General features: G+C 42.1%; 1 protein-coding gene across 10 annotated transcripts in view, besides 2 other annotated features; it reads left to right on the top strand.

The window, feature by feature from the left end:
- Nucleotides 1–25675, top strand: part of MYOF (myoferlin) — a 175906-nt gene that overhangs the window by 97648 nt on the left and 52583 nt on the right. For all 10 annotated transcript variants that reach the window (XM_047425049.1, NM_133337.3, XM_005269694.6 and 7 more), the window contains 10 exons: nucleotides 3291–3468; nucleotides 4700–4824; nucleotides 7258–7364; nucleotides 9732–9924; nucleotides 11602–11757; nucleotides 14911–15042; nucleotides 18132–18295; nucleotides 20612–20726; nucleotides 23130–23235; nucleotides 24709–24854. In XM_047425049.1, coding sequence (XP_047281005.1) covers nucleotides 3291–3468; nucleotides 4700–4824; nucleotides 7258–7364; nucleotides 9732–9924; nucleotides 11602–11757; nucleotides 14911–15042; nucleotides 18132–18295; nucleotides 20612–20726; nucleotides 23130–23235; nucleotides 24709–24854 — 1422 coding nt within the window. The remainder of the gene's footprint in view (nucleotides 1–3290; nucleotides 3469–4699; nucleotides 4825–7257; nucleotides 7365–9731; nucleotides 9925–11601; nucleotides 11758–14910; nucleotides 15043–18131; nucleotides 18296–20611; nucleotides 20727–23129; nucleotides 23236–24708; nucleotides 24855–25675) is intronic.
- Nucleotides 116–615: an enhancer, noted in NCBI's record as "H3K4me1 hESC enhancer chr10:95143829-95144328 (GRCh37/hg19 assembly coordinates)". NCBI's record gives its function as "activates a minimal SCP1, AML or CMV promoter by ChIP-STARR-seq in primed H9 embryonic stem cells {active_cell/tissue: H9 hESC(primed)}" and the evidence as "EXISTENCE:reporter gene assay evidence [ECO:0000049][PMID:30033119]".
- Nucleotides 616–1117: an enhancer, noted in NCBI's record as "H3K4me1 hESC enhancer chr10:95143327-95143828 (GRCh37/hg19 assembly coordinates)". NCBI's record gives its function as "activates a minimal SCP1, AML or CMV promoter by ChIP-STARR-seq in primed H9 embryonic stem cells {active_cell/tissue: H9 hESC(primed)}" and the evidence as "EXISTENCE:reporter gene assay evidence [ECO:0000049][PMID:30033119]".

Genomic DNA, 25675 nt, shown 5'->3' with positions numbered 1-25675 from the left:
AATAGACTACAACTTACATTCTTCTTTTTTTTTTTTTTTTCTGAGACAGAGTTTCACTCTTGTTGCCCAGGCTGGAGTGCAATGGTGTGACCTTGGCTCACTGCAACCTCCACCTCCTGGGTTCAAGTGATTCTCTTGCCTCAGCCTCCTGAGTAGCTGGGATTACAGGCACCTCTCACCATGCCCAGCTAATTTTTTGTATTTTTAGTAGAGATAGAGTTTCACCATGTTGGCCAGGCTGGTCTCAAACTCCTGACCTCAGGTAATCCGCCGCCAGCCTCGGCCTCCCAAAGTGCTGGGATTAAAGGCGTAAACCACCACGCCCAGCCCAATTTATATTATTTCATTTTCTCTTGTTGTAGGCAGATCTTGTCCCAGGCTCTGTACTTCTCTGAATGGTGTTTATTGTTCCTTCCTCTCTCTACCTCTTTGTGCCCTGAGGGCAGAGAGGAAGTGGGAAAGGTCTGAGGGAGCGGCAGAATTCTCAGCTGCCTGAATCATCGAGGGTAGCCTGGCTCTGGCACAGGTGAGCAGATGGTAGCGTTGCCCCTCCTGGAATCTGGGCTTGCACAGTGATCCAGCGGCTCCATCTTCAGCGGCTTGCTCATAGTGAGTCCCTTCTCTGTTGGGAATTGTGCTGATGGCCAGAAGCCCAAACTATTGCTTTTAGGGCTCAGACTCTCCAGGGTGAGGGTCCTATCAGGGATTCTGTGGGTCATTTTGCAAGCTCTGCGTGAGAGCATCCATGGGGTTCTAATGGAATCCTGGCTATGTGGAGGCCTACGGGGTAGAGCCGGCCCAGCTGGGAGTATCATCCCCGTAGTTCCCACCCCACCTCCAAGCCTCCCCATGATCCTTCTCCATCCTGTGCAGTCCCTGGCTTAACAGATGGCTCTGGCTTAAATACCGGTCATTTTCTCCTGGGTCCTGACTCAGGCCACAAATTATGTTTCCTATTTTTAGCTCTTTCCCTTTTCTCCTATCATCCTAGTTGGTTTACAAAGAAGTTATGCTGTATGTAGTTATGACTAATCCAAATAACTTCCTACTTTTTCATTTTGACACAATTCAAACCCAAACCCAGAATTTCCACATCATTCTGGACCACGGGTATTCCAGGGGGCTTCGCTGTGGGTAGTTAAGCAGAGCTCTTGACAAGTAGCGTGCACCCCCAATCCTCCCTTATCAAGGTGACAGTGGACTAAGCTAGGGAGGCTTTTAGACTCACAATGCTCCCGTCAAAGCTTCCTCAGGTCATTCAATGTGCAGCTCAGGTTACAAACCAGTGTTTAGAGAGACTTTTTAGAAAGATTGAGGCCTAGAGGGGATTTGACAAAACCCTATTGGAGGGTTCTATTATACCATGTCAAAAACTCCTTTAACCAAAATGGAGACTCTGTAATAGAAGGATGTCCAGGGGTTCTTCAAGACCACAAGCTTCAGTCACTGTCAGAAGTTCTTAAAACAGTCCTTAAAAATTTAAAAATTCCAGCCAGGCACGGTGGCTCATGCCTGTAATCCCAGCACTTTGGGAGGCCGAGGCAGGCAGGTCACTTGAGGTCAGGAGTTAGAGACCAGCCTGGCCAACTATGGTAAAACCCCGTGTCTACTAAAAATACAAAAATTAGCCAGGTGTGGTGACACACGCCTGTAATCCCAGCTACTTGGGAGGCTGAGGCAGGAGAATCACTTGAATCCAGGAGGCAGAGGTTGCAATGAGCCGAGATCAAGCCACTGTACTCCAGCCAGGGTGACAGAGCGAGACACAGTCTAAAAAAAAAGAATTAAAAATTCCACTTCTGGGTATATACCCAAAATAATTGAACGCAGAGACTGGGTACCACCAGAGTTCTAGAATAGACACAGGATGCGGATCGTATTGCATGGCAGAATGCACGGGACATAATGAAACACAGCAACCTAAACCATTGCATGGCTCTTTGGTAAAAGAAGGCACAGTGCCTGAAGATCTGTGGAGATATGGCTCATAAAGAAGGAGATATGCCAGCTGAGCAAGGATTTGGGGCAGGATATGGATTCAAGAGATTTTATGTGCCCATGAAGGAAGGCTTGAAGGGCTCATGGTCATTTCTGGTAGGCTGATAGGCACTCAATGTGGTTATCGTTGACCCTATCTTCAACTCTCTTAGTAAACCAGTAATTTAAAAAGAAAAAGGAAGGTTTAATTTCCCATTTCAATTTAAAATAAATTTACCCAGTTTCCTTATTTTTATTTACATCTGACATGAAAATCTTTATTGTTATTTCTGATTAGAAAATCAATAGTTTAGCTGGGTGCAGTGGCACGCACCTGTAGTCGCAGCTAGTTGGGAGGCCAGAGGGTCACTTGTGCCCAAGAAGTCGAAGCTGTAGTAAGCCGTGATCATGCCATTGCACTCCAACCTAGGTGACAGCATGAGACCCTGTCTCAAAAAAAAAGAAAATAGAGAAAAAAAAATTAATGCTTCATTCAAAATCATTAAAAATGTATAAGTTAGAAAGTAAAGTTTGCCATAATCTCTCTACCTTCTTCAACATAACTACTGTTAACAATTTGAGTTATATTCCTCCAGACCTTCTTTATGAATATGCCTTTATGAATATTAAAATATCTATTTAATAGATTTACTTAAAATATACTCTCTTTTTTTGAGATGGAGTCTTGCTCTGTCACCCAGGCTGGATGCAGTGGCACGATATCGGCTCACTGCAACCTCTACCTCCTGAGTTCAAGAGATTCTCGTGCCTCAGCCTCCCGAGTAGCTGAGATTACAGGTGTGCACCACCACGCCCAGCTAATTTTTGTATTTTTAGTAGAGACAGGGTTTCACCATGTTGGCCAGGCTGGTCTTGAACTCCTGACCTCAAGTGATCCAACCACCTCGGGCTCCCAAAGTGATGGGATTACAGGCATGAGCCACCGTACCCAGCCCAAAAAATATACTCTTTTTTCATGGTTGCACATATGGACCTAATTAAGTCTTTTTATGAACCTTCATTCTATTTTATGGATATAACATAACTTGTTTAACAAGTGGTCTACTGAAAGACTTGTGTACTGTTTTCATTTCTTCCCCTCCATTTCAATCAATGCTGCCAGGAACATCCTAGTGCTTCTATCTTTGCTCACTTGTATGAGTGCAAGAGGAACAGCTGGGTCCAAGAACATTCTCCCCTGTCATTTAATTCAGCACTAATTATTAGGTGTAGAATTGCGTCTCCTAGAAATCCACATGTAAATAAGAACAAATGGCCTTTCACTGAACCTTATGTCTGCTCATACTTTATAGAAATACCAGCGAAGGCGGAAGTACAGCCTGTCTGCCGTGTTTCATTCAGCCACCATGTTGCAAGATGTTGGTGAGGCCATTCAGTTTGAAGTCAGCATTGGGAACTATGGCAACAAGTTTGACACCACCTGTAAGCCTTTGGCATCAACAACTCAGTACAGCCGTGCTGTATTTGATGGTAAGATTGGCACTAACAGTTCTCTCCACACGTTTACAATGGGTGCACCACGGGACCGGAAGCAAGCACTGTGTCTTCCCTCTGGCACTGTTCTACGCAGCCTATGGTTAGTGGAAAGGAAAAGGTTGAATGAGGAAGAGAGTGTGGTTGGGGTTCAGGCACCTTAAAGACTGGCCAGACCCAAGAAGTTGCAGGTCCCATTGCCAGAGGCTGAACCCCAATGCTACCCTCTCCCCACCCAGCTTTAACAATGGTTTTGCCATGTAAGACCCCAAGGTAGCCACTGTGCTAAGTTCTGAGCTCCGCAAAGCAGCTCCTACCCCTACGAAGCCCCAAATCTTTCTTAGGCTGAGTAGTGGAAAATGAATGGGACTCTGGATCAGCTACTGGGAAATCATGCTTCTGGTCTTCACTCTGTTACTCACCAGCTTGTGACCTTAACCGTGTCACTGAATTCTAACCCTCAGTTTCTTCGTCTTCTCTGGAGTTGACATGAGGATTAAATAGCTGTATTTGAACAAAGATGGGTGAGAAACAGTCCCTGATTTTAAGGAGCTTACATTCTAGTGTATAAAATAAATCATAATAGAAAGCAAAGTATGAGAACTTCCAATAAAACTGTCAACAAATGGTTTGAGAGTACAGAGAAGGGAGAGAGGAATACTGATCAAATTTCCCAACAGTATTGCCAGAGTTTTAACTTAATTTTTGTACAAGCAGTTTTAAAATGTAAGACATCCTAGGAAACATCAGCTAATAATTCTTAATCACAGTAAGGCTCTAGTACCAAACCCTATGTAGCCAGCTAAAGCTTTCCAAGAACAGAAAATTCTTTTCTTTTGCCCCAGTTCCAACAAAAACATTTATTTAGAATAACAGTTTTTAGGGACTAACATGTTCAGTCTAGCTTCCTATGTCATCTGTATTTTCTACTACCACGTTAAGAAACCATCTTTGATGTTCAGATGCATGGCCCTGAATCACTAAACGATCCTGAGATTGCTGTGCTCAGTTTACTAGGGTGTCTCAGAGAAAATTTCAGAACAGCCTGAATGAAAAAGAGCTTCCTAGTCTTCAGTTGCTTAATTGAGTCAAATTAAAGAACCAGACCACCTCAAGCTATTCCCCAAGCCTGTGGATTAATCAGCAGCTCAGTCTGCACATCTCTTTAATAAACATGCTGTCTATTTTAAGTGTTCAGTGTTCATTGACCCCCAATGTTTTATACCAGGCAACTACTATTATTACTTGCCTTGGGCCCACACCAAGCCAGTTGTTACCCTGACTTCATACTGGGAGGATATTAGTCATCGCCTGGATGCGGTGAACACTCTCCTAGCTATGGCAGAACGGCTGGTAAGTTTCTCTTTTTCTGCATTTCCTTTTCACCAAGCAGGGTGAATTAGGTATTAGGATGGAGGCCAGGCCACTATAACACAAGAAAGTGCTTAGTACAGTGATCAATAAGGTAAGAGCAATGTCTCTAGGAACAGTGGAGGTAGATGGTCCTAAGTTAGTATGGAGGTTCAGTGGTATTGGAGACCCAGGCTCTTACCCCCGGTTGCTCTGCCATCACTCAGGAGTTATCATTGTCTGCATGGTAGAGGCAGCTCACTACTACATCTGCCCTCCAGCCTGAGGGGAGGGCTGGTAAACAGTGGGGAGAAGATGACATAGGCCTTTCTCTTGAAGGGAAGGATGCAGAAGTCATACTCTTAATTTCTACTCACTTTCCACTGGCCAGAATCCAGTCATACAGCCACATGTGACTCCAACGAAGGTGGAAAATGTTAGTCTTATGCCTGGGCAGGCATATGCCCAGATAAAAATTTTCTTACTTTGGAAGAGGGGAGGATTAAAAAGGTAGGAGTGGGGTGGAACAGGAACTCATAGTTTCTGCCGTAATTTTTGTGTAGAGAGAATGGTTCATTCCAATAGCAATATGAAACTCTGAGAACTTTGCAGTGGAAATCTCCACTGCAGGAAGAGGTAGCTTTGAGGAACCAGTGTCTGACACATTCCACTCTTGCTGCAGACTAGAGGAACTTCTTTTGTTTGGAGGTTGGGGATTTCCTTGGGTGAAAACTGCATACATATGATATCTGTGATTATCTGTCTAGTTGACATTGGTCAACTAGATTGGTGAGGAGAAGGGGGATATGTCTGTGATATTTCTAATTAAGCAAAAATACTAAGTTACTTGGGCCAGGTGCAGTGGCTCACGCCAGTAATCCCAGCACTTTGGGATACCAAGGTGGGCAGATCATTTGAGATCAGGAGTTAGAGACCAGCCTGGCCAGCATGGTGAAACCCTGTCTCTACTAAAAATACAAAAGAAATTACCTGGGCATGGTGATGTGAGCCTATAATCCCAGCTACTAGGGTGGCTGAGACAGGAGAATCACTTGAACCCGGGAGACGGAGGTTGCAGTGAGCCAAGATGGCGCCATTGCACTCCAGCCTGGACAAATTGAGACTCTGTCTAAAAAGATAAATATATACATATATATATATATATATATATACACACACACACATACACACACACATATACACATATACTAAGTTACTCCTATCAGGTAGTGCTAAAATCCATCTGGCATTGGTGTTTTGATTTCAACATTATGTTAATATTAATTTTTTAAAGATCTAATCTCTACCAGGGCTGGACCAAAACATATGGGGTTTCAGGAGTATACTTGATCTAAAACTCGACGGCAAAATCTGAAATATCATTTTATGTTATAAAGGCAATCTGGGAGGATAACTATAGGTTTAAATTGACTTAATCATAACTGTCCTGAAAATAAAGTTGCAATTGATAGGCAATGTACATCTCAAAGGCATTTGTGGAGAATTAGTTGCACCTGTGTTCTAATTGTGTTTGAGATGCTCTTCAGCAATTTTCATCCTGGTTCTTCTTATCAGCTCTCTCCACTGACCAGGCTGCCTAATCTGGACAGGATGGTGGCTTTCCCTTTTCCCTGATTAGGACTTTTGACAGTCATGGTAGGCTCTTCCTCAACTTCTCTGTTGGCAGGTGCTCAATGGAATAGAACCATATGTTTTGAGCTTATCTTGTACTTTCTCTGCCCCAGTCCGTAAATCGCTATTTCTCCAAGCAGCTTTTTCCTTTGAGTGGGGAATAGCATTTTAGAAACAAAATCTGGGTATACAGTGCTCACTACTACTGAAATATCATTGCTTCTAGGCCTTCTCAGCAAACGAATTTGCACAGACACATGTATGTCTATTTATTTCTATATCTATCAATATATTAAAAGCTATGACTTCATAAAGATACTTCCAATTCCAGTCCAATACCACAAGGTTTATCCTAGTCCTCTGTATTTCTATGTCTCTAACTTTCTTCTCCAACAGTGAGAAATCTGGCCTTTGTTATCCTCAATATATTTACTCCTTGGTTCAATCCTAAAATCTGTAGATAAACCACTGTGAAAAATAAGCCTACTAATTAGAGTTCAATATGTTTATGGGTTTTTTTTTTCTGCCTTTTAACAAAGTGTACATAGTCAAAATACTGTGTTCCAAAAGTTACTTGGGTTAGTTTAGTGTAATTATGTTATTCATCTGAAATGTAATTAGATCTGTTTTATTTCTGGTTATATTCCACTTTAGGGTTCCCTCTCCTATCTTTGCTGGTTTCATTTTATTTGTTTTTTGAATATACAAAAATATTTACATGATTTCACAGGTTAAACTATATGAAAAGGTATAATGGCATAATGAACAATTATCAATTATTTCCTCTCTTTTCAAATTCTTCAGCAAACAAATATAGAAGCTCTAAAATCAGGGATACAAGGTAAAATTCCTGCAAACCAGCTGGCTGAATTGTGGCTGAAGCTGATAGATGAAGTTATAGAAGACACGAGGTACAGTGATCTTACGCCTATCTCAGAATTTTCATCCAGGCGCTCCTCCCTGAAATTCTAAGACTGTAAATCCTGTGGAATTGTTTCTAGTGTTTGTCTAAGAAGTGATTTTGAATTATTCAAACTTCGTAAAAAGTCCTCACTGGGAGGAGTGCCTGAATCACCACCAGGAAAAGCTCCACTTTCTGATTTGGTGCCAGTTCTCAAGTAGCCTAGGGAGGCTGAGGCCCCACTCCCAGAAGCACGTCCCAGGCAGCCTCAGGCAAGGGATGGGGAGCGGAGAAAGAAGCAAGCCTGAGCCTCTGCTTCTCATCAACCCAAGAATGACCCCCACCCTGGAGAAGGGTGACTTCTGGCTCCTACGGAGAATGGGATCTGGGAGTGGAGCATTGATTTTACCATTCAGAACAATATCTCTAATTCATAAACATATTTTTAGAAACAGCCCTTTTACTTGCTCTTTTACTGAATGCCTGATGAACACTGTGGCCAAGCCTCTGTTAGGCAAAACCAGTAGATTTGACTTGAACCAGCGGACCTTTCATAACTGATTCGGGGAAACAGCTCAGATCTTTTAGCATATGGAAATCAAAGGGGGAAGTGATTCGTTCCAAACTCATTTTAAATATTGGTTAATAAAGCAGTGGACAGGGAAGTTCCGAAAGAAAAGCATATTGAATGCTTTCCACAAGCAAAAAGGCCTTTATTCCCCACACTGGGCTAACACCCTAAGTCACCCTGTCTTCTTGTGCCTCCTAGTGGTAAAGCCAGGTAATTGAAACGCAACCAAAATCAAAGTACTGCTGGGGTGCTTGTTTAAGTTCTGAATGTTAGAGCTGGGTCCTAAGGGATCATGTCCTTCAGTCTCCTTATCTTGTAAATGAGAAAACAGAGGCCCAAAGAGGAGAAATGACATATCTGATGCCCAGAGCTGGGTTTGCCAACTCAGCCCCTCTTCCTGCCATGTATTTCACAGTAGACATCTATTTGTTCAAGGCCCCAAGTGTGACTTTTGAACTAACAGCTTCCAGATATCTTTTTGCCTCAAAGTCTCACTCTGGGGAATTAACCCTTCAAATACAATGCCGTAGTTATTTATGAAACCAAACAGAAACATTTGGTAATAACTTTCATGGAGAAATTGTCTGTGAATTTTAAGATTTGCAGAGCAAACCACAGTCATCTATTTATACTTCTGATATGAGCTGTTTTTGAGGAATCAAATTGGAATCTTTCTAAACTTTATGTAACAGGAAATTCAGTGTCTAAGGGAAGTTGTGCTAGGATTTTCTTCATTGAAGAAGCTAGGTGAAATTCAAGTGAGTGGAAATTCTAGGTAAGGACACTGTGAATCAGAGCTTCGTGAACCTGGTGGAAATCCTCACCCTGTGTCCCACCAGATGCCATGGTGGGAGGCAAGGCCTGGCAGCAGAAGGCTAATTCTGGCTCTAGCTCAGCCATTCTCAGGAACCCTTGGGGGTCTCATCACAACACATCCAAGTTCTCATATTGAATGGAGATTTGGCCTACATGGTTGGTTCATAAATCTTTCTGGAGTTCATGGGCCCCTTTGAGAATCTGATGAGATGATGGTGATAATAAAGATGACAACGAGATGATGATGAGGATGGCAACATTGTTTAGACGTTGCTATGCAACTATTCTAAATCCTTTCCATACAGCAACTCATTTCCTTCTCACAACAGCCCTAAAAAGCATGTCCCACATTTGAAAATAGGAGGACAAGGAAGTAAGTGACTGGTCAAGACAATAGAACTAGTAAAGAATGGAGCCACGATTAGTACCCAGGTTGTTGGCTCCAAAGCCTATGTTCATCATTACATCACACTACGTGTTGACACAGATAGACACAGTTTTCTTTATAAGTTCCAGAGTTTCACAGACCTTCGAGACCCACCCATAGATTGCTTAAAGGCCCAGGATTCCCTAAGTTAAGTATGCTTCAGCTAAATGGTCTCTAGCCTCCCTTCTTCTTCCATCATTTTGTGGTTCTGTAAAATGATTCTAGGAAGCAAAAGAAGGGAAAGCCAGTTTCTCTCAGCTGCCACTGTTTCCATCTTCTTTCCAGTGACTCCTTGGGCCGTAGGTTAAACCCTAAGGCCTAAAATGGCTTTGGGATTTTAATCTCCCTGTATTCCTTATGAACATCAAGAGACCGGCAGGTCTGCTCTGGCAATGCCAGATACACTCTACTCCAGCGTAAACCAGGCAGTGCTTGTAGATTCAGTTAGGAGGTTGATGTGGTTTGCAAGATGGAAATCCAACATAAATGTATTTGACAGTTCTGAAGCCTAAAATTAGGTTATTCTTCAAATCCTCTGTTTCTTTTTTTCTTCATTTTTCTAGATACACGTTGCCTCTCACAGAAGGAAAAGCCAACGTCACAGTTCTCGATACTCAGATCCGAAAGCTGCGGTCCAGGTCTCTCTCCCAAATACATGAGGCGGCTGTGAGGATGAGGTCGGAAGCCACAGATGTGAAGTCCACACTGGCAGAAATTGAGGACTGGCTTGATAAATTAATGCAGCTGACTGAAGAGGTAGGACTTTTAAACTACACAAACGTCACCTGATATGGAAGAAGGGCTCTGCGAAATGGCACCAAGAATAGGATGGTGGAAAGAGAATCTACTACATTATCTTGGATATTGAGCAGCTCTGACAGATTGTAAAAATCAGGGAGTAACTGGGCTGAGGATGCTAATGATGAATGTGATTGAAATCAGAGCAGGGGAAGAATTTTGAGTTGGTGATCTTGGAAATGTCTTCAAAAGTGGACAAATCATTATCATTTTCATGGTACTGTCGGAGAATATTTTGAATGGTCTTTGCAGTTCACAGGATTAAAATGTCAGCTTTGGCTGGGGTTGGGAAGACCTGAATTTGAACCTTGGTTCTACCATGTATAACATTGGGCAAGTTATTCAACCTCTCTGAGCCTCAGTTTCCCCATCTGTAAAATGGAGATAAACATAGCACTTACTAGTTAGCTTTGTTGTGTGAAGATTTTAAAAAGATGGTGGGTGTACAAATGTCCATGAATGATAGACTGGATTAAGAAAATGTGGCACATATACACCATGGACTACTATGCAGCCATAAAAAAGGATGAGTACATGTCCTTTGCAGGGACATGGATGAAGGTGGAAACCATCATTCTCAGCAAACTATCACAAGGACAGAAAACCAAACACCGCATGTTCTCACTCATAGGTGGGAACTGAACAATGAGAACATTTGGACACAGGGTGGGGAACATCACACACCGGGGCCTGTCAGCGGGATAGGGGGCTGGGGGAGGGATAGCATTAAGAGAAATACCTAACGTAAATGATGAGTTGATGGGTGCAGCAAACCAACATGGCACATGTATACCTATGTAACAAACCTGCACATTGTGCACATGTACCCTAGAACTTAAAGTATAAAAAAAAATGGTAGGTGTAAAGGGCTTAGCACAGTTGAGGGCATACAGTAAGTGCTGGATAAATGCTGGCCTCCACTAACTTCGGTGGACTAGAAGAATGAGGAAGTAAGGAGACGACTCCTCCTGTCTCTCAGAAATCAGAGGGTTGGGTAGGTAGTCATATATTTGTGGGTAGAAATACGCTTGAAAAAGCACACAGGATTATAGGTAATTTCATTTTCTACTTTGTATGCTTTGGTACTTTCACAGTGTTCTATAGTGGACTTAGGCAGTTTTTTTATACCACTGTGTGCCAATAGGGACATTTGCATATCCAGCTCTGGAAGCTGGATTATCTTCTTTATAATAAAAAAAGAGGTTTTTGAAAACAAAATTAATATTTCAGATTTGACAAATATTGGATGGTGAGCCAGAGACTCTTTATCCTGTAAAATATATGCAATCTGTAACCTTTTGACTGCTGCTGGTGGCTTTCTTCAAATGATGCTTGAGATAAGATGGAATATTTTCTAAGATACCTCCCAGAGAAGAGTAGGAGGGACTTTTGCTAGGTGAAGCTGCGCCTCTGCTTCTCGCCCTTCCCTTTGGCCAGCCACAGTCTGCCTCCCAGCCCTGCAAACTCACAGTGCGGTCCTAGAAGATGGGAGCTCAGGAATTTGAGACAGAGCCCTAACCACAGCGTTTCTTTGCTAAATGAATCCCTGAGGGTCCAGCCTGCAGGGTCTTCGGTCCCTCTCCATTTAGACTAACCATGGCTGTGCTTCCTCTTCCATCCAATCCTCATGACCAGCCACAGAACAGCATGCCTGACATCATCATCTGGATGATCCGGGGAGAGAAGAGACTGGCCTATGCACGAATTCCCGCACATCAGGTCTTGTACTCCACCAGTGGTGAGAATGCATCTGGAAAATACTGTGGGAAAACCCAAACCATCTTTCTGAAGGTACATATCTTCACTGTGTCATGTGAAACACACTAAATGCAAAAGCTGTATTCCTGAGAAGGGTCTGCTTTATATCATTTGCAAATCATTGAATGGTAAGGGTGATTGGGATCAATTCTAGCCCATCCTGGTCCCTCTCTCTGGGGCAATAATTCTGAGAGAGAGTGATCTGAGGTTGGCCAGCTTTCAATCAAGGACACCTCCTTAGATGTCTTTGTGACATTAATATAAACATGGCATTGTGAATGCTTTGCTTTCTGGCATGAATATTTCACTTCTAATATTTCACACAAGGCAATGCCTTTCTTCCTTTCATTCTAGTGAATGTTGGGGAAAGAAAGAGAAAGCAGTAGGGATGGTTCATGGAATCTGTTGCTCTAACCTAATGAGCAATAGATTGAATCAATTTCAATTTGATGAACCAATCAAATTGAACATTTTTGACAATCGTAACTTTAGGGAAGAGATTCTGAATACTTTTAGAGTCATAGACTCTCTTAAGTGCCTGACGAGAGCCACAGGCCTTCTCCTCCAGGGAAATGCACACTGCATGTTCAGCTAATATTTTGCATAGAATTTAGGAGCTTCATACAACCCATAAGCCTGTTCCAGGGCCCCGTATTAAGAACTCTGTGTGTGTATATGGGGAATCAAAGGTGAGCCTAGGGCCGAAACAAAGAAATCAGAATAGTTCCCATCTATATGTTTTGACGTCATCTCTCTGGCCAACCCCAACTGGAGTTCTTTGCATTTGGGACAGAGAAATAACAATTAAGAAGAGAAAAAGCAGAGTTGGAGAGAGTGTTCTCTTCAAACAAGGAGATTCTGCTAACTTTTAATAAATTTACTCATTGCTCTTTAATCAGGAGGGTGTAAATAGAATCAGAGTGATTATCTTCTTTCAAGTGTCTCTTGGTAGAATAAATTTTACTTAAGATAGAACCACAATTATAATTGACCTCAGCAGTGGGTGGAAGCAAACTGATTAATAAATAAAGCTTCACAGGGGGTGGGAGAGGAGACAAAGGCACCTTCTCTGTGTTAGGTTTTAGAAGTTAGTGGATAAACAGCAAAATGCTTTTAAGAGAATGTTTTGTATATTTATTGATTTTGTTAATACTCATTACACAGTTTAGGGAGCTGTTTAACTCATGAGTTTTTTTGGTCTTGAGATCCCTTTATACTTTAAAAAAAAAGGTTGAAGGCCCCAGAGAGCTTTGGTTTATGTGGGTTATACCTATGAATATTTACTATAATAGAGATCGAAGCTGATAAATTTTTAAAATATTTATTGATTTAACTGTAACAATAACCCGTTACTAACATAAATTACATCAATTACATATTTAATTTAAAATGTTAATAAACTACATATTTTTACAAAATACATTTTGTGTAAAAAATCAGAAAGCAGAGTGAGACTGTTTTGCATTTTTGCAAACTTCTTTAATGTCTTGCTGAACAGAAACATAACTGGATTCTCTCATCTTCTTGTGCATTTAAGCTGATGGAATTAGTTATTTGGTTGAAGTATATGATAAGGATCTGGCGTCACATAGATATGTAGTTGGAAAAGGGAGGAGTATTATAATAACCTTTTCAGATAATTATGAATATTCATCTTTGATATAACACTAAACTCAAGTGGTAGCTTTTAAAAGGTTAATTGCAGTGTGACATCTGAAACCATATCAATGAATTTTTCATACTCAGCTACGTTAAAATCCTTGGTCTTTCTTGGACTTTGAATGACTCTTTTATTCATGCATGATTTTGTAACATAATGTACAATCATTTGGAAAATTCACTGAGTTATGTAGATCACTGAGTTATGACACATTTCATCATACAATATTGAAAAAAACACACTTTGAAATCACATTTGTTAATATCACTTATCAGAAAGTCTATGTGTTGGGAAGCTATCAAACTTATTGTTACAGATTCATGTTTTCCAACACTCTATTATTTTACGTGAAAGCTGGAATTTTGTCATCACCAACAAATAAAGAGTTATTTTCCTTGGAGTGAGAGGTTCACTTTGTTTATGTTTAAAAAAAAAATCCTTGCCCCATACTCAAATTGGAATAACCATGTTTACCTGTCAATCGCAGTTTTAAGTAAAAGTGATATTTCATTTTTCAAAAATCTAGTTCAACTTACAACTCAAAAAATTGCACAAGAGCTTTTTCTCAAGACAACCATCATATGCCAATATGCAGCAGAAGTGCTTCGCATGTACTTCCCATCTCATCACACAAAATATTAACAAGACATGTATTCAAGGGTCGAGATTTAATAAGATTGGTAATCTTGGCTGGGCACAGTGGTGTACGCCTGTCATCCCAGCACTCTGGGAGGCTGAGGTGGGTGGGTCGTTTGAGTTCAGGAGTTTAAGACCCACCAGGGCAACATGGCAAGACCCCCGTCTCTACAAAAAAAATACAAAAATTAGCCAGGCATGGTGGCATGCATCTGTGATCCCAGCTACTCTGGCAGCTGGGGAGGGAGGATCGCTTGAGCCCTGGAGGTCAAGGGTGCAGTGAGCCGAGATTGAGCCACTGCACTCCAGCAACAGAGTGAGACTCTGTCTCAAAAAAAAAAAAAAAAAAAAATTAGTAATCATTACTGCTTGATCAACAGAATCCTTTTATTTTTATGTTTTTGCACATAAAAAGGGAAAGATAATTCTTTAGTGAAACTGGAATTTTGTTTCTTTACTGAGATTGCTGTTATTATTACTATTACTTTTACTGTTACTACTAGGTCCAGTTTGGCAATCCGGCCTTGATTCCTGCTACAGTGCAGGAGTTTTTTCCACTGTTGCTTTTGCACCACCAGTGCAAGTGTCAATACAGTAAAGAAGATAAATACCATGTTAGTGTTATTAGAAAAATTGTTTTGACCTTGTGGACCTCCTGAAAAGGTCTCAGGGACAGGCAGGAATCTATGGATCACACTGTGAGATCTGCTGCTTTAATTGTGATTTTAATCTTTGCTGTAGGGTCATCTGGAAATGTTTTAACTGAAGCAAACATAAAATTAGACTGGTGAAAGCAATGATTAGATGTTCCCTCTGTTTTTGGCTTTAACTTAATGTCACAGTCTTTGCTGTGCCTAATGTAACATCACATGCTATTGTTCATCTCACAGTATCCACAGGAGAAAAACAACGGGCCAAAGGTGCCTGTGGAGTTGCGAGTGAACATCTGGCTAGGCTTAAGTGCTGTGGAGAAGAAGTTTAACAGCTTCGCAGAAGGAACTTTCACCGTCTTTGCTGAAATGGTACCTTTAATGATTTCACTATCTTTTCTTCTTTGGTCGGGGGAGGGGCACTTTTACTTTTCACCTTTATGGAAAACATTTACATACCAAAAACAACCACAGCCCTCCTTACCATCCCCTAAAATCCCATCGAAGGGATCTTAACCTAAGGGATAAGAGAAGATGCTCCTGAGATTTTATAGTCAACATTGGAACACACCATGGTGATTAACACTTTTGTGTGATAATTCCAAGAGATGACTTAGATGCCTTCCACTTCTACCACAATCTTACTAGCAATACTGAAAATGGGTGTCTTTCTAGCTCTCAAAACTAGAACTCTGTAATAATCTTATTGGTTCCTGATGCTGGGACACTAAGTAGAGTATACACACACACACACACACCAACCCAGGAGAGGGGACACTTGAGATGTTCAGATCTTGATAAGCTTACTTGGGGTAGAGTGTCTTAAAACCCCTGAAGACCCATTTCACACTTAAGGGAAGCCTCAGATAGGCTTGTCCAGGGGCAAAAAAAAAAAAAAAAAAAAAAGCTGTCTGAATACTTCTAAAACAATAGAGATAATTTGTAAAACCTTCACTGAGCTTAAAATCCATGTAGTTAATGAAAAGTCTCATTACAATTAAACCAATGAAAATAATGTTCACAAATGTTTACAGCTAAAAGTAGAATTGTTTTGATTTTTTATGCTATTTTTAACTCAAGTGCTTATTGACTTAAATTTACCAGATGTATTCGGTGGGTCTCTTCTGATAACTTTCAGATGAACACCACTCTACAGATAGGCCTTCATGCTCCAAGAAATGAGGTGAAGACTGTCATCATTTTAGCTAGTCTAGAAATCTATTCCTGCTACTCACTGCTATACCTGACAACTGGTTCAGGATTGTGGCTCTGATCTGCTTGCTAGGCAAGACAACCCTTGACCCTCTTTTATTTTTACTTTTTATTCATTCAGCAGTTCCTGGCACATAACAGGTCCCAATACCTGTTTATTGAATGAATAAATAAATGATGACAATTTATCTGTCCTACTGTCCACCCAACCATTCATTCCTCCATCCCTCCATCTGTCCATCGGAGCTTTTAGGGAGTGGTGGCTTCATGCTAGGCACTGAGCCAGGTAACCAGCTGCTGAAGATGATGAAGAAGCCAAGCCTGGTCCTCAAGGATCTCACAATCTATTGCAATGATTGCAAAACTAGGTCTCTTGTTAAGCATGCAGACTCCCAGGGGCACCCTGGGGATTCTGATTGTGTAGCTTGGGTTAGGGATTAGCAGCAGTGGTGATTCCAACATGGGGCGAGAGTGGGGACCACTTTAAGAAACAGTAGAATGTGTGGGAAACATACAAGCCCTTGCAGCTCAGGCTTAGAGGTGCTAGTGAAGATAGAGGGTGTGCTGGAGGCCACTAGGGAGGCCCTGAATGGAGGATGTTGATGTCCAGCCAGCTGGATTGTGTGGAGTAGGGGCTTCATGGCATAGGTAAGGAGAGGCTCATTCCTGCCTTCCTGTAGGATTTCTTGGCATCTACCTGCCCTCCAGCTCTGTGGCTGGGTCTAAACTGGAGAAAGCAGCCCTGAGCAATGATCGACCAGCCCAGGGCTTCCTTCCACTCTTTCCCATTTTTGGATCCTTCCCTGCATAGAGTGAAGCCTGAGCTTCAACTTATGTAGAGAGATGATCCACTCATTTCTGTTGTTCTGTGTGACTCACCTGTTGAGTACCAGCAGAGGCACATTAATAATAATGGAAATTTTACTGGCTCTTGCCTTCATGTGCTAATAATACTAGCACGTAATTTTCTACAAAATTCCCCCCCACCCCCGAGATTTCTGGGAGTCTATGAGGTGCTTCACATGTGCTTGCTCATGAATACTTTTTTCTTACTGTCCTGCCCCAGTCCTGCTGACTAAAGCCACAGCCCTCAAAGCCACTTGAGGCTCCCATCTCCACTGCTGCTGATACCCTCTTGTCCATGCCAAGTCTTTGCCTGGATTTTACTAAGGCTATGCTGGCTTCCAAGCAGAACAGGAGGAATGTCTTGCTCTCCATTCTGTGTCCATGTCATGTGACCCCAAGCCTTAAGGTCCCTTAGGATAACAGTTCCTTTAGTTTCTGCCTGAAGCTCATCTCCCCTCCAGGCTGACAGCCAGTATCTGAGATAAGCACCATTGTGTCCTCTTGATTCCAATTTCCTAATCAGGCCCCCACTCAAATCTCCTCCTTTCTCCTTCAGCCAAAAGCTTTCCTATGGCTTATGCAAATCATCTTCTCAGTGGATTCATCAGCAGACAATTGGAAATTCTAGTTTGGATCCAAACATGGACACCCACCACACTGGCAAATCTCTACCCTTTCCATGGTTGCCATGATGAAGAGCAGACCGTCATAGATTTATAGATTCTAACTTGGAAAGGAATGCCCTAAAAGCCAGAGTCTGCCATTGCCATTCAGCCTGCTTCCCAGAGAGGCCTTGGTCTCCTTGCCACATTCCAGATGGAATTAAGGCTCATAACTTTTAGGTCTAATAAGGGCTGGGTATTAAAGGACCTTCATGTTTCAGATGGGTTTTTTGGTGGACTGCCTGGGAAATGGCAACATTAATTGTATATTGTTTCTACAGGGAAATGTGCCCCAAGTTCTCAGCAGTAGACTTACAAATAAATTTTATAAAATCTGCTCATTCATAAGCTGAGGACTTTCATAGGTATTTAAAAGATAAGGTTCGCGAACTATCTTGAGCCATTCAAAATTATAATAGAAGCAACTAGGATGCTATATCGCTATTTACAAAGCACGTTCGCAATCATTTGCACATTTAAACTCCAGAATGACTCTATAGGAGAGGTAGCATTATCCTCAGATTTCAGATGAGAACACTGAGTCCTAGAAAGTTGAATGATTTATCCGAAGTTGCATAATCAGTAATAGCTCAAGTTAGGTCCATACCTTCTGAGCATAAAGCTTTTTTCTGCTTTCTGTAGTTGTCTAGCCTAAGTCCTCGATGAACTTGAAAATGTATGTGCTAGCTTTATTTTTTGCTCTCTGATGGTGTTTCTCCAATTTTATCTCTTTTTTAATAGTATGAAAATCAAGCTCTCATGTTTGGAAAATGGGGTACTTCTGGATTAGTAGGACGTCATAAGTTTTCTGATGTCACAGGAAAAATAAAACTCAAGAGGGAATTTTTTCTGCCTCCAAAAGGCTGGGAATGGGAAGGAGAGTGGATAGTTGATCCTGAAAGAAGGTAAGTTGTCCATTTTCTGAGTAAAAAGGATAGCAATGAAATCTTTCTCTAGAAATTGCTAAATATATTATATCTCCGTCATCATCTTGATAATAGTTATGTAACACCCACTGAGCAGAACTAAGTCCATTGAAATTTGTAGAAAGTTGAAAGATGTTCCACCATAAGACAGGCTAATATAAAAAGCACCTGGTAACTAACATTTTGAGAAATTATTATGCTTGACTGTGTCAGGCAGTGTGCTGGGCACTGGCGTCATCTTACTTAATCTTTACTACAGCCCTACAAGGGAGGCAGTGGCAAGAAGGATCTGAGATTTGACCCTACTTGCAAGCGAACAAGGTCCCCCGTCAGTTTCACAGATGCCGACACATGACTCCTGGGTTAGAATAAAAGAACTTTATTGCCCACAGCAATAGCAATGCCAGAGTATTGATATTTGCTCGACTTTTTCATGCCCGAATTCCCACAGAGTAACATGAAGAGGGCCAGATGACACTTGTACACACAGTGGATTGAGTTATATGAGAGAACTCTAGGCTTAGGGGACTTGAAGTTTTTATAATGGGCAGTAAGCAGGCTGGCCCTTTGCTGTGCAGAGAGAGACTATCTTAGTGTTCCCCATATAAACATCTTTGAGAAGATAGCCCATAACAAAGGTAGTCAGTGCCTGAGCTCACAAGATGCGCAGAAACACAAGAGACTCGCAGAGAATTATCTCCCAACAAGTAGTAGTATTATCTCCACTTTGCAAATGAGGAAACTGAGATCTAGAAAGATTAAATAACTTGTCCAAAGGCACATTGCTTGTCAATGGTATAGTAGGGGCTAGAATCCAAGTCTAGCGTGGGCACCCAAACCAGTACTCAACTATTATGCTAGAATGTCTGCAAGAAATGGTAGGAGGTATACTGTAAGTGGATGAATTTCATATATGTGAACTATATCTCAAAAGCTGTTATTAAAAAGAAAGAAAAAAATAAACAGTAGAAGGTGGTAAAGATGGTTCCCCTGGAGTCTGGGGGACACTGTAGCCTGTTTGCTAAATGTTGCCAGTAACATTAGAACCAGCATTCCCTCTTCTTGCCATCTTATGACAGCAGCCTTGAGTTGGGAGGGAAAAACCTTGTGAAGTTGAATTTTAAGGCCTCCAACTAGAGTTTGGTCTCTCTGTTGTTCATTTCCTGTAATTGCATAGGCATTAGGGAGGGAGGAGGGAAGAGAAAATACTGCTCTCTTAAGACCCAAACGTGCTTGCTTGCATGTGATTGCTTTCAATTCAGGCAGCTTGCTCTGGGTGGAGTTGGGGGAAATTGGTGAGGGAAAGGAAAATGGGGTTTGAATTGGCTGGAAGGAAGGAAGGTTAGTGAGGACAGGGAAAGGGTAGGGAAATTGTGATAGAAAAAGCAGAAGGTCAAAGCATGTCAGGGCTGGATGGAATCCTACAGGCAGCAGCCAGGGCTTTTATTCTCCTTCTTTGAGGCCCAGAGACGTGATGCCCAATTCATATAAGTGATTGGGACTGTTTGTTTTTTTGATTCCTTTCCTGTGCTGGATTCTAGGGGAGAATACAGCAGAGAAAAGATGCAGAAACAATAAAGGGAAAAAAAACCCTCATTTGAGTAGGTACCTGGCAGAAGACTTGAGTCAAAGTTGGAGCCTCTGTAACTTTCCTCTGCGGGTTGTCCAAAGAATTCCAAATCCAAGAGGAAAATTAACATGGCAGAGAGTCAGTATGGATTTCCCAAATGCCCAAATGGAGTTTGGAGTCTGAAATGACCTGGTTTGGCTGTCTACCTAGGAACTCTCCAGAAAACTTAAACTCCTCCCTTCAGTTTGTGTTATGTAGACCAAGCAAGCCACATGTGGCTTCATGAGACCGTCTACACTCTGTTTTAAAAAATAGTGGGGACAGCTCCCTTTTCTTTTGAACTGTTAGCCAAGAGTTTCATTGAGATAAAGCTGAGCAGCCCGGAACTGAAACAGAAACATGGAAGGCGTTGTCTGTGGTCTCTGTAAGAAGCTGCCCACAATACTGTTTTCCCAGACCCCATCCTCATTACTGAGAAGGAGCAACCTTGTTAATTTGAGGAGTTCTTTATGATTTAGGTCACATTGTTCCAGCAGGCTCTTTCTTCAAAGGAATGTCAAAAGCGATTAGTACAAAGAGGAATTTGGAGTCAGAACCAACAGGGGTAAAGCGAGGAGGGAAGTGGTGCCACTCCCAGGGTGTAGATGCTTCCTGAGTGTTGGCAATCGCCGAGGCTGCCGGTTACCCGGTCTCCTTGGGTAACTTGAGCCCTCCCCGCCCCACAGCTTGCTGACTGAGGCAGATGCAGGTCACACGGAGTTCACTGATGAAGTCTATCAGAACGAGAGCCGCTACCCCGGGGGCGACTGGAAGCCGGCCGAGGACACCTACACGGATGCGGTGAGTGGCCTGCTCCGGAGAGAAACTCTCACCTGTCACCTCTGATCGTGATCTGCGGGGAACCCAGCAGCCACCTGGCTTGGGCTTTAACCTCTCCTCCGCTCCATCTTATGTTCTGAAGAGTCTTCCACTTATAGCTTAAGCCACACAAGTGCCACAATAAGTATTTTCTTTAGAATAGAAATGAGGCCTATTTAACTCGATGTTGGAACATGGTATAGTTTGGATTGTGCAAATTTTTTAGGTAAATTTTTATTATTATCTAATTAGGGTTCTGTTGTTGTTTGAGGGTTTTTTGAGATAGGCTCTTTCTGTTTCCCAGGCTGGAACGCAGTGGTGCGATCATAGCTCACTCTAACCTCAAATTCCTGGGCTCAAGCAGTCCTCCTGCCTCAGCCTCCCCAGTAGCTGGGACTACAGGCACATGCCACCATGCTGGACTAATTTTTTATTTTTTTGTAGAGATGGGTTCTTATTATGTTGCCCATGCGGGTCTTGAACTCCTGGCTTCAAGCAATCCTCCAGCCTCAGCTTCCCAAAGTGCTGGGATTATAGGCATGAGACACCAAGCTCAGCCTAGTTTTTAATAGTATAACAAATGAAATGTTTCTGTCTTTAAAAAATCCAAGCAGCATTAAAGGAAATCAAAAGTAATTATTCTCCCCAATCCATATTCCACTCCCCAAAGATAACCATTGATGTCTGTTTTCTGTTCATAAACAAGGATATAACTTCCTTTTTCCCTGCCTAAATAGAATTGTGTTGCACACACAGTTTCATAGCTTGTATTTTTCACTTAACAATATATCTTGGACATTTTTTATGTCAATGCATATAGATCTATGAGCTTTTAAAAAATGGTTGCAGAATGTTTTATTATATGTACCTACTATAATTCATTTAATCCCCTCTTTCTGGGCATTTAGGTGCTTTTGGTTTTGAGTCGTTGGTTTTTATAAGCAATGTAACAGTGAACATCCTTAAACATACATTTTTGTATGTTTATGAACGTTTATCTGTAGGGAAGATCCTTGCATTTGGTTGGTCTAGGTTTAAATGCATATAAAATTTTGATAAAATTTTATAACCTTCAAAAAGGTTTTATAAATTCATATTTTCAACAAAATTACAAGAAGCCCATTTGCCTAAATATTCATCATCCCGCTTTATAATCTTTGCCACATGAATAAGTGGTATCCTGTTATTTCAATTTTCACTCTCTTAATTTAAAGTAAAGCTGAGTATTTTTTCATGTTTATGGGCCGCCTTTATTTCCTTTACTTAGGAACTTTCTTTTCATAACTCTCTTCATTTTTATGCAAACTTAAGTCAATATTTTAGATAAATTTTGCTAATTGTATATAATTAACATTATGAACCTCCAGTAGCATTTCCCCATACTCAAAAACATGTGTCTGCCGGGTGTGGTGGGTCACACCTGTAATCCCAGCACTTCGGGAGGCTGAGGTGGGTGGATCGCTGAAGGTCAGGAGTTTGAGATCAGCCTGGCCAACATGATGAAACCCCATCTGTACTAAAAATACAAAAATTAGCCAAGTGTGGTGGCAGGTGCCTGTAATCCCAGCTACTTGGGAGGCTGAGGCAGGAGAATCGCTTGAACCTGGGAGGGGAGGTTGCAGTGACTCGAGATTGCACCACTGCACTCCAGCCTGGGCGACAGAGCAAAACTCTGTCTCAAAAAAAACAAAAACAGGCCAGGTGTGGTTGCTCACGCCTGTAATCCCAGCACTTTGGGAGGCCGAGGTGGGCAGATCATGAGGTCAGGAGTTTGAGACCAGCCTGGCTAACATGGTGAAACCCTGTCTCTACTAAAAATACAAAAATTAGCTGGGCATGGTGGCGCACACCTGTAAATCCCAGCTACTCAAGAGGTTAAGGCAGGAGAATTGCTTGAACCCAGGAGGCAGAGGTTGCAGTGAGCCGAGATTACGCCACTGCACTCCAGCCTGGGCAACAGAGCGAGGCTCTGTCTCAAAACAAAGAAACAAACAACCATGTGTCTTGAATGTTTTACCCATTCTCTGATGGGTTCTATCCCATGTAACCCCTCATAAAGAGAGTTGCACCATTTCATAATATTAAGTTGAACCATAAGAAATTGCTGAGATTCAACCACTTTGACCTATAACAACAGCAATTTCACATGATTGAACCTAGTACTATTCCCTAATAGTAAAAACAAAAGGTAGTTTAAACTAATTTTTATTTAGCAGTTGTGAATAAATAAAGATTAGAGATTTTTCTGAGTGAAATGGATCTCTAAGATGGTATCTAAGTAAAGGTGTGAATGCCATAGTTAAATGAGGAACTATATTGGACCCTTTGCCTCTTACTGACACTATGGCTTACCTCTCTTCTTTGTTTTTATTTTTGTTTTGTAAGAACGGCGATAAAGCAGCATCACCCAGCGAGTTGACTTGTCCTCCAGGTTGGGAATGGGAAGATGATGCATGGTCTTATGACATAAATCGAGCGGTGGATGAGAAAGGTAACATTGTACATCTGTGACCTGATTGGGGCTCTGCAGCAGGGCCTTGGTTAACCAGGATAAAGTTTCCTTGGGAGGGAGGGGCCTCACTTCTGTTGGTCTATGGCAGGAGTCCCCAGCCCCCAGGCCAGACTGGTACCAGTTCATGGCCTTTTAGGAACAAGGCCGCACAGCAGGAGGTGAGCGGCGGGCAAGTGAGCATTACCACCTGAGCTCTGCCTCCTGTCAGATCCGTGGCAGCATTAGATTCTCCTAAGAGTGCGAACCCTATTGTGAACTGCACGTGAGAGGGGTCTAGGTTGTGTGCTCCTCATGGGAATCTAGCCATCCTCCCTCTACCCCACAACCCTGTCCATAGAAAAATTGTCTCCCATGGAACCGGTCCTTGGTGACAGAAAGGTTGGGGACCGCTGGTCTGTGGCATCTGGGTCATGTGGTACCGTCTGTGACTAACCAAATGTAGAATCCAAGGGAAAGGCAAGTGTATGGACAAGTGCTAAGTGAGCAGGGGGTGTTAAGAGTGAAAAACATCAGGTGATGGGGCCAACTGGTCAGGTTTTGAGATGCTTGGGGATCCAGGATGAGAATTTGGGAGGGAGCTGGAGTCAAGATTTTCTCTATTCTAACCACACCCCATAACCTCCCTGGGAACATCACATTCAGGGCCCCCCTGACGCAGAAAAGAGAACTGTAAACTACCCTTAAAGTCTTCCTATGCAGCAATGATGCAGACTACTGATATAGCTTCTGATATTTGTCTTTTTCTGAACCATAATTAAAGTTAAGTGAACAATAGCATTTGGAATTCTCAAAAGAGAAAATCTGATTCATTACTTTCCTTATGCATGGTGCATAGAACTGGCATTGACCCAGAAGATTTCAAATCAATTATAAGCTCCTCACTGATCTCGATGCACACACCAGATCTCAGAATAATCGTTAGCATTGACTGAGCAATAGCTGTGTGCTAAGTATGGCCCTAATGCTTTGCATATGTCATTTTGATAGTGTTAAAATACTGTAACCCTATAATCCCACTTTACAGTGGGGAAATTGGGCCATAGGCAGGTTTACCAACTTGCTGGAAACTTATTTAGTTAACAGCCAACATGTGGCGATGCTAGGATTTGAACCCAGGCTGTGCAACCGCACAGTCCACACGCTTACCTGCTGTTTCTTCCTGCCTCTTGAACTGTGCTTTATTCCTAAGTGCACTCAGTTACCATGAATGACTGGAAGCATAAAAGTAGGGGAGAACATGGCCACCAAGGAGGCATTTTGAGGAGCTGAATGGGAATGAGGCTGTATTCAGTTTGGCTGAATAACCCAGCAAAGTGAAAACAGCCACATATTCGGTCATGATAGTACAGAACATCTGAGGGCAGGGAGAGTGAACAAATGTTTCCTCGAGGTTTATTTGGTGATCTGGCAAATGCATCTCTTCTGGGTAACCATTCACAAACTCTGTTCCAGGCTGGGAATATGGAATCACCATTCCTCCTGATCATAAGCCCAAATCCTGGGTTGCAGCAGAGAAAATGTACCACACTCATAGACGGCGAAGGCTGGTCCGAAAACGCAAGAAAGATTTAACACAGACTGCTTCAAGCACCGCAAGGGTAAGAGAAGCAAGGGAAGGGAGCTGGACTGGGGAGCTCTGCCCTCCTGACTACAAAGTCCCAGCTAACTAGCCATTTCTGCAGAAATTATTTGCAAATCCAGAGCCTAACACTCCACTCAAGGGTTCTCAAAGTGAGCCCACCCCAGCCAGCAATATCATCATCACCTGGGAATTTGTTAGAACTGTCCCACCCCAAACCTCCTGATTTAGAAATCCTGGGGGCAGGCCCAGCCATCTGTAGTTCAGCAAACCATCCAGGTGATTCCCAGGCAGGCTAAATGTTGAGAACTGCTACAGAGGTGTTAAATGGAAATGATTTTGGCAGCATAATCTAGTAGTAGTAATAGGTCAGGACTTGGAACAAGATGTGTAAAGATTCAAACCCTGACTTCCCTTTCTTTCTCATCTGCAAAATGGGAATAATATCTATGCCTTTTAATTAGGGTATTGTAAGCTTTAAATGGAATAATAATAAATTAAATAGAACAGTAACACTCAATAATAAGTGGCATGTATAGAAGTGGCTTTCTATAATGCTAGGTACTGAGTATGCATCATCTATGTTCTGTAAGGTTTGGATTTTATGCTCATTTTATAGATAATGCTCACAGAGTTTAAATAGACTTGCTCTGGGCCAAGTGTTTAGTAAGTGACAAAGCTGGTGCTGGAACCCGGGCTAAGTCCAAACAGGAACTCTCTCTATTCCACAGAATGGGTAACTCCGGTAGGCACTATGACATTATTTTTATTAGATGGTGAGCTTCTGGAAGCAAAGATGGAGCCACAGTCATCTTTGTATCCTCCTTGCTAACTCAGAAA

The sequence above is a fragment of the Homo sapiens genome, chromosome 10 (assembly GCF_000001405.40).
Source record: "Homo sapiens chromosome 10, GRCh38.p14 Primary Assembly".
Lineage (NCBI taxonomy): Eukaryota > Metazoa > Chordata > Mammalia > Primates > Hominidae > Homo > Homo sapiens.
The sequence above is the reverse complement of the archived record's forward strand: the minus strand, read 5'-3'. Positions and strand labels throughout refer to the sequence as shown.